Here is a 14,432-nt window from a genome sequence, read left to right as displayed (position 1 = left end):
TTCCTACTTGGTCTTAGATTTGTCTTCTCTTGAAAAATAGAATATTCATTGGTATAAGCATTTCACTGCACTGGATGAGAGAGGGAGACCTGGGCCTCTGTCTTCACAGAGCTTATGTGGTCCAGTGTGTGTGAGGGCATCTCAGGCAATCAGAATGCAGTCTCAAAAGCACCTGCCGAGGGAAAGGACATTGTGCTTTGAGAGCACCGAGGAGGGGTCCCTAACCTAATCTCCAATTTGTGTAGGAAGAGACTGGGACCAAGTTAAGCTTCCTAGAGGAAGTTATCAGGCTGAGAAATGAAGGCGATAAAATTGAGCTCAGCAACAAGAGTGAGGAAGGCAATTCTTCTAATATTTGAAGGCAACTAACATGTTTCATCCCCATTTCCACCATCCTTCTTGTGGGAGGGTTTCCAGAACTTTCATCAGCACAATCTCCTGAGAAAATCTACTTGTTGATTGATATTGCTCTTAAAATAGGTATTTCAAATTAGAATGGAATAATCCAGATGCAATGGAAATAGCATTTGTCATAGTAAAGTTTTGCTACCTTTTTTTGATATTGTTTTTTGGAGGATACTAACATTATTGTGACATATTGTTTATTCATTTTGAGCTTACGGTAAACTAAAACAAAATAGATTTTTTTCCAACTGAAATTAATGTTTGTTCAAGTCCTTCCCATCATATATAAGAAGATTTCACATATCCTTATTAAATGTCACGTTACTGGTTTCAATCCGTCATTTATGTCTATAAAGATTGTTTTGAATCCTGGTTGTGTCATTTGAGGCATTTGCCATCTATCCTAGCCTGTGTCAGCTGCAAGTTTAACAAGGATTTATATTAAAAGACACTTAATAAGATTCCTGTATCTTTATCCTACTAGCAACTTCTCTCTGGAGCTTCCTCGACAGGTTGATTAGAATAATTTTCCATACCTTTATTTATTCAGCCAGGTATAAATCTACTCACATATTTTTCCAAACCACATTTCCTCATAAGATCCAATAATATAAAGAACTTGGCCAAATGTCTTGCTGAAATCAATTTACATAGTTTCTTTGATAGTCTCCATATTTTCCAATGTAGTAAACTATTTAAAAATGATTTTACTAAATAAATCACTGTGGTTTCTAGTAAACACCTTTTAAACTTTGTAACACTCTGTTAAAAATCGCTCCAAAAACTTTGTTGAGTGTCAGCACCCATCTTCCTGACCTGTAGTTTCTGAACTGTGTTATTTCTCCCTATCTGGACCCATCTGCCATCTCTAGTCTTCTGGCAGCTCTTCTGTCCACCAGGGTTTTTGGAGGATTACTGAAGTGGTGTGGTCCCTGGATGGCACTTCTGACACTGGATTGCAATGGATAGGTGACTCCTCCCTACACCCATCTTCCTCCTGTCTTCCAGCAGGGATTTCCCTATTGGTAAAACAAGGACCACAAAACCCACTCCTGGGGTTGTGGCGAGAATTTCATGAGTTAACTTATGATAAGGAATTGCCTCAGTGTCTAGACCAGGACAAAATCTCAGCAGTGGTCAGCCACTGATTCCTTGATAGCTATGTCCATAACACTGGTGGGCATAGCTATAAAGGAATTTGAAAATTGTTGCTGTCTATTAATTAATTTTGCCTAAATTCCCTGAGACATCTGGTCATGTTTCTTCCTTGAAAATAAATTTTTGATTTGTGATATAAAGGCTATACTCACCTCTACTCACTACCTTTCAGAGGATCGATCAAATACAGCAACAGAAAAGGTTTTCATACCCACAGATATGGTTTAGGCAGTAAGTACTTTGTGACTTTGTGGTGGAGGAATCCAAACTCATGAATTCATTCATGTTTAAACACATGACTGCTTCAAGAAAAATATTTAGATAAACATCAATTCTGTGTACAGAAAATAGCCACAGTTAGGTTTAACTTTTTTTTTTTTTTGTAAAATCAATCTGGTAATTCACTAATCAGGTCAGGCATCTTAATGATGTGGCTTTTTTTTTTTTTTTTTTTTGACAGAGTCTTGCTCTGTTGCCAGGCTGGAGTGCAGTGGCGTGATCTTGGCTCACCGCAACCTCTCCCTCTCATGTTCAAGCTATTCTCCTGCCTCAGCCTCCCAAGTAGCTGGGACTATAAGCATGTGCCACCATGCCCAGCTAATTTTTGTATTTTTAGAGATGGGGTTTCACCATGTTGGCCAGGATGGTCTCGATCTCCTGACCTCGTGATCTGCCCACCTCGGCCTGCCAGTGTGCTGGGATGACAGGTGTGAGCCACTGTACATGGCCTGATGTGGCATTTTTAAGATAGTTATGAAATCGAAAACATGGATTTTGCTTGGAACAACTTTAGTCACAGATTTTTCTGTATTTATTTATTACAGTTGAAATATTTGAAATATCCAGTTAAATTTTCAAAAAATATATCCACTTAATAAACAAAAGTTTTATTTAAATCATCTATCAAGTAAATAGTAACCGTGCTTTAAAATACATTTTATTAAGCTAAGGGTATCCTTTGCCATTTTCTGTTTGGTAGTTTCTGCCAGAGTTGGTCCATTTAATAAAATTCTTTGGCACTCTGTTCCAGTAGAGAGGATAGCATGTGTAGAGACGATCTCAATGCAAAGATGGCTTGGGGTGAGGTTTAGTTCAAGAGTAAGGCTGTGTTTAAAATGCAAGAATACTCCGGCCATTTACAGGCGTAATAAATACAAATGCAGCATGGTGAGATGGGGTATGAAGCCTGAGATTTCACAGCACTCCTTCTAATTCATCACCACTGTCCTGGTCTGGCTTAAGCAGATTATTATTGGGAGAGTAAAATGCAATGCATATGAAAGCCAGGCAGATAGTTGCAGCTCAATCTATTACAGTCATTACCACTTACTGCTTTTAAGACCTCTCTCTAGCTAGCTCCGCAAGAAAGAGAGACAAAGCTAAACAGACTAGGTAACCAAAAAGCATAAGAAAGGAAAAGCAAACTCTCCTAATAAATTAGTACCTAGGACATTATGAACAAGATATTTGAAAATGGATGAAATTCCTTATGATTCCTGCCTTTTTAGGCCAGGAATTGAGTCCAGGAGTTGGAGCTCAAAATTGGAGGGTGTCTTTGTCCAGAAATTTGAGAAAAATGAAGCCAGCACTGCCGCCAGAGCTTCTGCCTGGGCATGCTGTCCTGGTGCTGTCTGTGGGCACTGCATTGACAGACATCGATTTGTCTTGGGTGAGCTTCACTGGGTCCTCATGTGGCTCCATAAACCAGGCCTGTGGCCAGCACTTCAAGCACGTTTCGTTCCATTGCTGTCTTGCTTGTCTGCCATGCTTTAGCTGGGGCTGGGACACAGGGGCGTTGTCTTGAGGTGGCTCTAATGCTGCTCTGTGCCACTGTCTAGCAGGGTCGGTTAGTGGCACTCACGTCACTTTTTCTTGGCTGCTTTCCAACTGCCAACTGTTGCCAGTTGTGTAAACCACTGGTGGGCACAGAATTCTTCCTGCCAGACACCTACTATTTTTTGCTTGGTAATCAACAGGCTGGGATTGAAGCTACTTCAAAAAGAGGAAATAGGTTGGGAAGATACAAGTGCTTGTGTATGTGTTTTGTCCAGCTTAAAACAGACAGACAGACAGACAGGTAGACAGACAGACAGAAGAACATAGCCCTAGCCCTCCCACTTTCATTTTGCCTTTAGAAGAATTCCTGATGTAGTGAAGCTGAGTCAAATCTCCAAACAGACAGCTAATGATAACCAAAAGACAGTATTCCAAAGAAACTTTGTAAATAGGGCATGCCCCTGACATTTTTTAGTTTATCCTGAATTCATCCCTTTTTCTTACCTTGCAAACCGATTGATGCCTTTATTTGAGAAAACACCTTTCTCTACAATTTAGGAAATGTGTAAACATCAACATTTAAAAGAAAAAATGATAATACCTTGATATCCTAGATAAAGAAGTAAAAAAAGAAGAGACGTTAAATCTGCCTTGAATGGATAGAATGACATTCAGTATTGTGGCAGGCAAAATAATGCAACCCCCAACCCCAACCAGGATGTCCACATCCTCATCCCTAGAGTCTGTGAATATGTGTTACTTTACGTGGAAAAAGGAATGAAAGTTGCAGACAACTTTAATTGGGATCATCAATGTAATCATCCTGGATTACTGGAGTGGTCCCAATGTGATCACAGGGGTCGTTAAATGTGGAAGAGAGGGTAGGAGTGTTGGAGTGAAGTGACAAGAGAAAGACACTCCCTACCCCCTCCTTTGTGGGCTCTGAGGATGCAGGAAGGGCCAGGAGCCAACGAATGCAGCTGGCCTCCAGGAGCTCAAAAAGTCAAGGAAGCACATTTTTCCCTAAAGCTTCCAGAAAGGAATGCAGCCCCAAAGACACTTTGATTTTAGCCCAGGAAGAGCTGATTTATACTTAAAACAGTAAGATCATCAATGTGTGTTGCACTAAGTCGCTAAGTTTGTGGTAACTTTGACAGCAACCACCTCCTGACATGTCCACCGTCTTGCACATGTGTTCTCAGCACCGGTTTTTGTTTCCTTCCTCAAATGCACCACATGGTACCCACCAAAAAGCCGCTGGGATGCTGTTCCTCCACCTGCAACACGCCTGCTTCCTGTCTGTACATCACTGCCTTTTCCTTCCTTTCAGCCTTTGTTTAAACGTCACTTTCTCAGTGAGACTCTCCTTGACCACCCAATCTAGAACATGCTCTTTCTCCAACCCATGACATTTGCTTCCTGTCCCCTGTTTTTTTACTTAATAGCTTGTATGAAAAAAAAAAAACAAAAACAAAAAACAGACTCAGGACCCCAAACTCACTATGCCAAGGGAAATGTTAAGCTTGGAAACCGAGTCATGCAAAACCGCCTCCCACTTTGATCCTAAATACATAGCTGCGAAGACAGAGGGCCACAGAGATCCCCAGGGGCCTCGCTTCCAACTTGCTCCCAAGGAAATTCCTTGGACCCCAAGGAATTTCTACCCTAAAACAGAGTTCCACTGAATTTCACCCTGACAATATCAATTAACAGCATATCTTCACAGGCATGGGTCTAAGACAGGACTAGAAGCCATCCTCGGCTCACCTGAGACAAATGCCTATTTGACGGCCTCCTCTTCTTGAGGTTTTCTTCATCTTATGTAGAAATGCAGCTTCACTGAGTGCAAGATGAATGTCTCTACCCCCACTTTCACATGTAAAGCTTGGATTTAGTGAATGCTGATCAAAACCTCAAAAGAATGTGACCGCTTCTCTCTTTTATCTACCCTCCCTGGTTTTTTCTTTCCTCCTTTCCTCTCCTGCCCACTTTTTCTCCTTTACATTGAAGCCTCAAAATCCTCTTTGAAAAAAGTAATACAATATAAGAAATAATTTTTAGACAGATAGTAAGGGTACAAGTTCTTGGTAGAAATTTCCCTGTAATAAAGAACAACCCCTGAACCATCTCTTTTCTAACAGAAAAGGCAGCTTGAAGGGCGGAGCCCGCAAGCTTTGATATGCAAATGCAGGCCATTAGAAACTGGGTTCACTCAATATGGCAATTCCCGCCATCTTCTCCTTGTCACCAGGTGTACCAAGGGTCATGGCCACCTCCAGATAACACCATGTGTTAAAGCCATATCAAAAGTACCGGTCGCAGATCCTACTGAGGCTTATGTCCCTTTTTCCCAGGCACATCTTCAACCTTGGCAAAATAAATCTCTAAATTGATCGAGATTTGTCTCAGTCATTTTCTTTGGTGTTACACTTAAATTAAAAATGAAAAATTGTCATTCTTTTCTCGTTTATTATCTATCTTCCTCAACTGAATGAGAGACTCATGGGGTGGAACCATATCTGTTGTGTGTTCTGATGTATACTCATGACAAGTATGGCATCTGGCTTATAGTCATGCACAGCTATTTGTTAATTTTTTTTAAAAAAATCAATGCATTTACCTCAATTCTCTTTCTGAGCGACTGATTTTATGGTATTTATCTACCAGTGACTTTGTGTTTAATTATTATAATGTTAAAAATACTTAGGATGAGATAGAAACATTGTCCTCGCATTCTAATTTAAAAATATTTTTTGCTGTTATATGTGTGCTTTTTTCACATCTTGATAATTCCTCCATCATATTCTGTAAATATCATATTGTTATTTTGATTAGTATGAAAATTAATATATACATTAATTTTTGAAGTAGTTCTTATCCTTCCAATATGTTGCACTTTCATTAAGTATCACAGTATGTTTCTATTTTTATTCAAATATTATTTTAATCTCTCAGTAGAGTTCTATATTTAAAAAATGTTCCTAATGACTAATTTATTTTTTGTTAGGATCATTCAAAGGTATTTTATTTTTAAGTTGTTATTGTAAATTAATTATTTTAACACTTATATTTTGAATTGTTTATTGACAATATATAAGAAAGGATTTTGGCCTATTTTCCTGGCTTAAGTGGCATAACTGAAATTTTGTATATTCTGAGTTTATTTTTAATATATTTTGTAGCATTGTTGGGAGGATTGAATGACATAAGTATATATAAAATGGTTAAATTCGCATATTTTACACATTATCAGCCTCAATAGATACTTATTTTTTTTCCTTTCCTTGTCCCCCTCCCCTCTTCCTTGTTAAGATGCAGAATCGGTGCCTGTGAGTAAAGCGGCCATTTGTCCCCCTTGTTCTGATCATTCTAGTTCCTGTTGTTTCAGGTGTTGTTACACGGGCTGGAACATCAAAAGGCATTTTAAATACTAGTGCTTATTCATTATAGTTAGTCTAAGGAAGCATCTTATAATTTCTGGTTTCCCAAGAGGTTTTTTCAGGAGTAGATTTTTAATTTTATCATATTTTCCTAAGTGTCTTAATCTTTGAATATGATTCATTGTATTTATGTATTTCCTAATGTTCTATTGTCCTTACATTTTTTCGTAGTCACAGGGTAATGTTTTTTAATGTTATATTGACCTAGGTTTGCAAGTATTTTATTTAGAGTCTTTGCATATATCACATAAATAAAAAAGAGAACTACAGTCTCATTTTCCTTTGTGTCAATTTTAGGTTTTTGTGTTAGAGTAATGGTAGCTTCATAAAATGAATAGGGATACTTTGTATCTCTTTCAGTGCTCTAAAATCAATCTCTCTCTCTCTTTCTCTATGTGTGTGTGTTTCAGTGTGTGTCTTTTTATCTCTCTTACACTTTGGTAAATGACTTGATCATATACCCATGTGACTTAAGACTTACCTTATTTCATTGAATGTAAGTTACCATCACTGTTAAAATATATCATTGTTTATGTACTAGTGAGAAGGAAGAAAAATGCTACCTATCAAACTGTGACTAAAACAAATCTTACCAGTTAGAATTTCATTTTATACTTATTAAAGTCTATTTGGATCTCTTAAGAGACAGCTTTTTAAAATCATATATTAGCTTTTTTTCATGTGTTTATACATATGAATAAAACATAAGTAAAATAAATCTAAAGTTTTCCTAAATATTTTTCACATTGAGTTCTATGCTTTTGGATTTCTTAGACTCCAGATCATTATTTGTACAGACAATACCACCATCAAGAACAGTGATGGGGCAGATGAGTGGATGCCCCACCGTTGTCTCAGGATGTCTCTTCCTGGTGGGTGAAACCATTCTGCAGGCTGTGCTTTGCATACACGGGCAACAGCAGCCCCTTGCTGACTGCCTCCAGTCCTCCCGACAGTGATTTCCACTGCATTCCCCACTTCAGAGGTGTCAAAGTTGGGAAAAGTTTGTGTCTTAGTATAAAATAAAGTATGGTGTCTGATTCCTCTTATTACCTTACCCTCCACATTCAAGCAATTAGCAAGTGCTTTTAATTCTAAATCAAACCATTTATTTTTTGTATTTATTAGAGCTCCTCATCTCTGTCCATTCGCACTGCCATCCCCTTGGTCTAGGTCACATGGATTTTCATCTGGATGGCAAAACAATCCTTCAAGTGCCTCCTTTTCTAACCTCCAGCCCCCTAAGTCCCCACCTTCATGTGGCAGCCCAGTTTCCCTAAATCACTTACTGCGGCCCTCAAGTCACTGTGTCTCTTGCTTCCCCCTCTGCTGTAGATGCCATATTTCATTTCCTCAGAGATGCCAAGCTTCTTCCAACTCTTGTCTATCCATGTGTTTCTCTTACGTTTCTGACATCAGTAGCATATTCCTATGCTTAGGTGTCAGCATACATGTCATGTTTTCAGAGACATTTTCCTGACTCTCATCCTAATTTTCTGTACCCTGACTCTTGTTATAGTCTATTTCCAAGTGTATTCCAAGAATAGTTTGTGGGTGGTGTGTTCTCATCCTGTGCCCCTTGAGGATCTCCTCCTCTTGTCTTGTCTCATGAATGTCAGCTGGGCAGAGGCCTGAGGCTCAGAGGTTCTCTCCAGCCTCATCATCTAAGGCATCAGCCCTCAAACATTCAGCATCAGGGACTGGTTTTGTGGTGGGTGGTGGGGGGATGGTTTTGGGATGAAACTGTTCCACCTTAGATCATCAGGCATTAGTTAGAGTCTCATAAGGAGCTCGCAGCATAGGTCCCTTGCATGCTCAGTTCACAACACAGTTCGTGCTCCTCTGAGAATCAAATGTCCCAGCTGATCTGACAGGAGGTGAAACTCAGGCAGTAATGCTCACTTGCCTGCCTTTCACCTCCTGCTGTGCGGCCCAGTTCCTAACAGGCCATTGACCAGTACCAGTCTGTGGCCCAGAGGTTGGGGACTCCTGATCTGAGGGGTGTGGCTCTGTATGACAAAGCAAGGTCTCATTCTAACCCTGTTGCGTGGTACTGGACCTGTGAAAATTGTGGAATAATGAATAATTCTGGCCCTCAGCACATAACTTTGTCGGCATGTTCTTGATCAATTTAATCGATTCTAGAGAAATGCATCATCCCCAGCTTCTGTAAAAGCATCTGTATCTATGACTTAGTCTTGAGACCCAGCCAGGCCATGGTTCATTTGACCAGGGCTTGGAACTGGCTCTAAGATTCTTCAGTCCATTGGCTGGTCAGTGACTAATTAAAATACCTTCCTGAGAAAGTTGCTGGAAAGAGATGGAGAGAAGAGAATTACTCTGTAGTGGTAATTTGAGTGGAAATTAACATGGAGTTAATATCAGCCAAAGAAGCATGAATGCATAGTGAAAGCCGGAAGAGGAACAGGATGGGAAAGAGGAGCAGATCTGTGGGGGAAGGGGGATAAGAACACCTTTATCTTTGAAGAGAAGGAACGAGAGAGAGGGAGATAAAGAGAGAGAGGAAGGGGGAGTAGGAGAGGGGAGGGACAGGAGGGGGTAAGAGAGAAACTAAGAAACCAGGAGGCACCTCCTGGATCACGGACATTGACTCCCTTACCTCCTTCTTCACATCCCAATTATCAGCAACTCCTTACAGTTCTTTCCCAAATAACATACAGCACATGTATGGAAATGTGTGTGAGCGTGTCTTCATCTGCACCTCCCTCTTCTTTCAATGTACGGGACTTCATGCCTTGGAGATCTGTGCATGCTTTGACCCATTCTTTCTCTGGGCTCAGCTTGGGGGGCCTCTCAGGGACAGGAGGTACACAGCGCCCAGGCCCACCGTGCTCTCTGGCCTGTTCCATGAGTCCTCTGGTGAGGGCCCCACTGGCTCAGAGAACCAGCCAGCAGATGAATTGCCCCTCAGAAATCTCTCTTCACAAGTAAAAGCCTCTTGAATCATCCACAGAGCCCCTCTCCTCTCTGTTCCTGCCCACAGGGTTTCACCTTGATGACCACACCTTCAGAACAGAGTGCCTCTCGCTCCAGCCCTGGCCCACAGGGAAAAGTGGCTTCTGAATGTGGATAGACACACAAGGGCAATGACACACAAGGGAGTGAGTGGGCTGCAAAGCTTTAGATGCCTAAGGGGTAGGGCCCCTCAGGAAGTGTAGCTGCCCTGCCTCGGGCTGGTGTGGACACTGCTTCTGAGCCAAAGGCAGATCTGGAGGGTGGACACAGTGTCTGTTTGTATTCCATATGGGAAAGCCAGCACTGCTCACTCATTTTACTCTTTCTTTCATCCATTTTCATTTTCATTGGAGTTAATGGAAATTTCTCTGATTAAGATAGCAGATTAACTCAGGTTAAGGGCTGGCTTTTGTTTTGCATTTATTTGTTTTGTGAATGTGCATTTAGTTTTCATCTTTTTATGCACTCTCATAACTGCTTTACAGGCATGTTGGAAGAGCTACAGTGAGTACTCCCAAAATCATATCAATTTAGACCAAGACCCCAAAGTGTCCTAGGGTGCCCCCTTACAGGATCTGGCAAACTATGTCCTCTAGAATCCAAGCTAGACCAAGGAACCAGTTCATGATCCTGTGTGTTCATTTCACAACTTCGGAGCCATTTTAAAAGTATGTACACATTTTTCAATAGGTTTCATTGATTAGAAATATCAAATGCTGCTTTAAAGAGTTTCTCTTTTTTGCTTGTTTCATGCAAACCAAACGCAATTCATTTTGCAACATAAGTGCTCCTTTTTGTTCTTCACAGACGTTACAGAGCATATCTCAAGTTCCAAAATCTTGCATAGCGTCTAAGCCAAAATTGCACTGGTCATAGTTAAGCATGCCAGGAAGACTTTAGTCAAGTCTACTGCAAGAGAGCAGAAAGGCTGGAGTTGAAATTGAACTCAGCTCCACCGAAGCAAGTGGCTGGAGAGGTGCAGAGCTGGCAAGGGGCATCTTAGGCCAACTGTGTTTGCTCCTTGGCCTTACCTAAAGGAAAATCAAATTTTCTCATTTCTTTCGGATAAGAAATAGTTTTACAACTTGGAGTAAGGTGCCCACTAAAGTTAGTTCCTACTCTCCCACAGAAGTGATGAGATAGAGTTCTATTCCCTGCTGATTACGTTTTAAAGCCATGCCTTCCGGATCATCCAGAAAGACCATCCTGGGTTGTAAAACTGGCAGGAGGCTTTGAAAAAGATTTACATTGTCAAGGGGCAAGACAATGAAGAGTCTTTAACAATGACAAATTGAAGGAAGGCTTTAAGAAGAGGGAGGTCAGGACCTCAAGGTGGGAAGAAACCTGTCTAAAGCGAAATCAAGTTGAGGGGAACATCAGGGCTGTCTTGCTCAACAGGAAGTCATCCAATGCAAGGGCAGCTAGAGGGGGATGAGTTTCCCACCTACTGGTGTATGTTTGCGAGGGTGTGTGTGTGCTTTCCATTTGAACCATGAGAGGCACAGTGGTGTCTCAACTTACAGGACAATGAGGAGGAGACTCTTGGCCACAGGCAAAGCCCACTGCTGCTTGCGTGCACTTTCTCCAGCTGGCACCATCCAGGGCAGTTTGTGTTGAGGCATCAGGTGACAATGCTTCCTGCAAGAGAAAACAGTGGGGATGTCACAGAGATGCTTTGGGTACACAACTGAGTCCTGAGTCAGCAGTGGCCTAGGGCCATCCCTCAGGGTGGGGAGAGGTGAGCTGGCCAGTGAGGGGCTGGGGTGCCAGCTTCTCCCTGGGGCCAGGAGTTTATTTGTCTGCCAGTTGCTCCAGTCTGCCCAGATGTGCGATGCTGTAGTGTCTTGAATCAGACAAATAGCAAGAGGTGGGAGCAGAGCATCTCCCTGTTTCACTGCGGAGCTGGAGGGGAGCCAACTGTGGTGGCCAGTCTTACAGAAAGGGCTGCCTGGAAATAATCCGGCAGGAAACCTATGAAGCTGACTAGGTCCATCATGACCAAGAAGGCATTTTTCCCTTTTGTCTGTTTTCTGGGCTATCTCAAACATCTTTCTGAGAATAAATAGCCCTTATCTGTAATAAGATCTGGCAGGCCATTAATGCATAGAGAGTGTGATATCAGTGGGGAAGAACAGGTGTGTGGGTGACAAGAGTTTCTTGATCCAACAGCTGCTTTCTTTGTGCAAACCAGCCTCCTTCCTTTCACACAAAGGTGGTTGTTTCTCAGCAAGTACGGGAGAGCTGTTTCCATCTGGCAGAGGGATCTGTAAGATAATTGGCTGCAGGACAAAGGTGGCCTGGGGTTACCATGCAGAGAAAATCGCCCTGCACTACCTAGAGGCTGTTCCCTGGAATCCGAGGGAGGCTGGCCCTGGGAGACTGGGGTGTGCTGCTGTAGCGGCTCCTTTGGGTTGAGGCAGGAGTGATGGGACACTGCACTGGTCTGCTTGTGCAGTTGTCTGGGTCACCTGCTGCTCTTTGGAGCGAGTTTGCCCTCATGCCTTCTTCTTACAGAGTGACGTGACCTCTCTGGTAGTAGCAGATCCAGTGCCAGCCACCTTGATAGCTGGGTGGAGACCTCACCGTCTGCATGAGAAAATTTGGGTTTCCCAGGGCTACTCTGCTCACCCGAATGGTCTCCTAGGCATTAAGAATAGATTTCCTGGGTCTACTCATTTCTAGATTCTTAAGCCTGTGCAGATACCCAAGGGGTCCCTTTCTGAACAGTCCAGGAGGAGATACTTTTGCTAATGCTTCAAAAACAGTTTAGGCCTGGCATGGTGGCTCATACCTGTAATCCCAGCATTTTAGGTGGTCAAGGAGGGTGGATCATTTGAGGTCAGGAGTTTGAGACCAGCCTGGCCAATGTGGTGAAACCCCGTCTCTACTAAAAATACAAAAATTAGCCCAGCATGGTGGCATGTGCCTGTAATCTCAGCTACTTGAGAGGCTGAGACATGAGAATCTCTTGAACCCAGGAGGCAGAGGTTGCAGTGAGGTGAGATCGCACCACCACATTTTAGCATGGGCAACAGAGAGAGACTGTCTCAAAAAAAAAAAAGAAACAAAGTTTAGTTTTCTGATGTGTTGTACAAGATGGTGATTCCTGTTTATTCTTCTACATCTAACTTAAATCACACCTCCTGCTCGACACTTGAGGCATTATTATATTTTGGCATTAATCACAGCATGTCTTCTATTATATGTGAGTATGAGTGTGTTTCCTCCAAATTCTGGACTTACAGAAGTTAGGAAATGTGTCTTATTTTTCTTTGTAACTGTTAAAACAGTGACTGCGTAATGAGTAAGCACTGCATTATTGTTCAACTGAATTTACAATCTCTCTGTCTTTGAAGGGAATAATAATGGTAGCAATATTCCTTTTAGAAACCTCTTCAAATATTAATATTTCCACATTGGCCTTTGTCAATACTGCATCCATTTAGTTATTTTTCTAAAGCTCAGGTGTTCCTTGTGAAGCTTGCAGGGCAGGAGTGGATAAGCTCATCCAGGGCGTATTAATCCCCAGTATCATTTTAAAAATATGTAATAGCAGTAGCTAATATTTAAAAGAAATAAGGGTGCTGTCAAAAGTGGATTTCACCATGGCAACATTGTAGGCACTGATGCCAGTTAAGATGGTGTGGCTATCATCCAGTGAGAGATGACAGTGGCCTGAGCCGGGATGGTGGCAACGGAGGGTGGGGTAGGTGTGCTTAGCTGGTGGGAACAAAATCCATAGGATTTGTCCCTGGATTAGCTGGGGACAGTGGTGGTGAGGAAGTAAGTCCCTCCAACCCCCCCAGGGCTCACTTATTTCTGAAGTGACCTGGATGGAAGGGAGGGCTATTGACTAAGACATGAAACGCTCGAGGAGAAAATTTTGTAGGAGATATTTGGGTTTGGACATGATTTAAAGGCACCTGTGAGACAACCCAGTGGACGAGGCTGCTCTCTTTGCATATGCATCTGGGAACTCTGGGACAGACCTTGGCTAGGAGAGCGAGGGATGCATCAACTACCAGCATCCACAGAAAGAAGAGCCCCTTTGAGGAACGTCCGGTTACATGTAGAAGGTTTCATGTTATTTCACTGGTCAACCGAGAAATAACAAAAATGAGCTGCCAGGCACAGTGACTCATGCCTGTAATGCCAGCACTTTGGGAGGCCGAGGTGGGTGGATCACTTGAGGTCAGGAGTTCGAGACCAGCCTGGCCAACATGGTGAAACCCCATCTCTACCGAAAATACAAAAATTAGCCGGGCATGGTGGCACATGCCTGTAGTCCCAGCTACTCGGGAGGCTAAGACAGGAGAATTGCTTGAACCTGGGAGACAGAGGTTGCAATGAAATGATTGAGCCACTGCACTCCAGCCTGGGCGACAGAGCCAGACTCTGTCTCAAACACACTCACACACACACACATGCACGCACGCACGTACGCACACACAAACACACACACAAACACCAAAATGAGCATCATTTATTAAGATTTAATAAAACTAATTTTGTACAGTTAAGAAGCTTCATTAGTTCCAAGATCAAGGCCTTCCCAAATATTTGTTATAAAAATGTCTTGGCAAAATACAAACCTTGTATTCCTATTTTGGCTTTCTCTTTTTATAAGAAGGTGCCCACAATCAGAGACTCACCTGCAATGGGCTGTCCATCTTCATG

At 42.2% G+C, this 14,432-nt stretch overlaps 1 long non-coding RNA gene across 1 annotated transcript in view; it reads right to left on the bottom strand.

Moving 5' to 3' along the window:
• LOC105372191 (uncharacterized) overlaps window positions 1-14,432 on the bottom strand; it is a 28,272-nt gene that overhangs the window by 13,122 nt on the left and 718 nt on the right. Inside the window, exon 2 of the long non-coding RNA XR_935622.3 lies at window positions 11,277-11,393. This is a non-coding gene — a long non-coding RNA (uncharacterized LOC105372191). The remainder of the gene's footprint in view (window positions 1-11,276; window positions 11,394-14,432) is intronic.

This window comes from Homo sapiens, chromosome 18 (assembly GCF_000001405.40).
Source record: "Homo sapiens chromosome 18, GRCh38.p14 Primary Assembly".
In the NCBI taxonomy this organism is placed as follows: Eukaryota; Metazoa; Chordata; class Mammalia; order Primates; family Hominidae; genus Homo; species Homo sapiens.
This window is presented reverse-complemented; position numbering and strand designations above follow the sequence as displayed.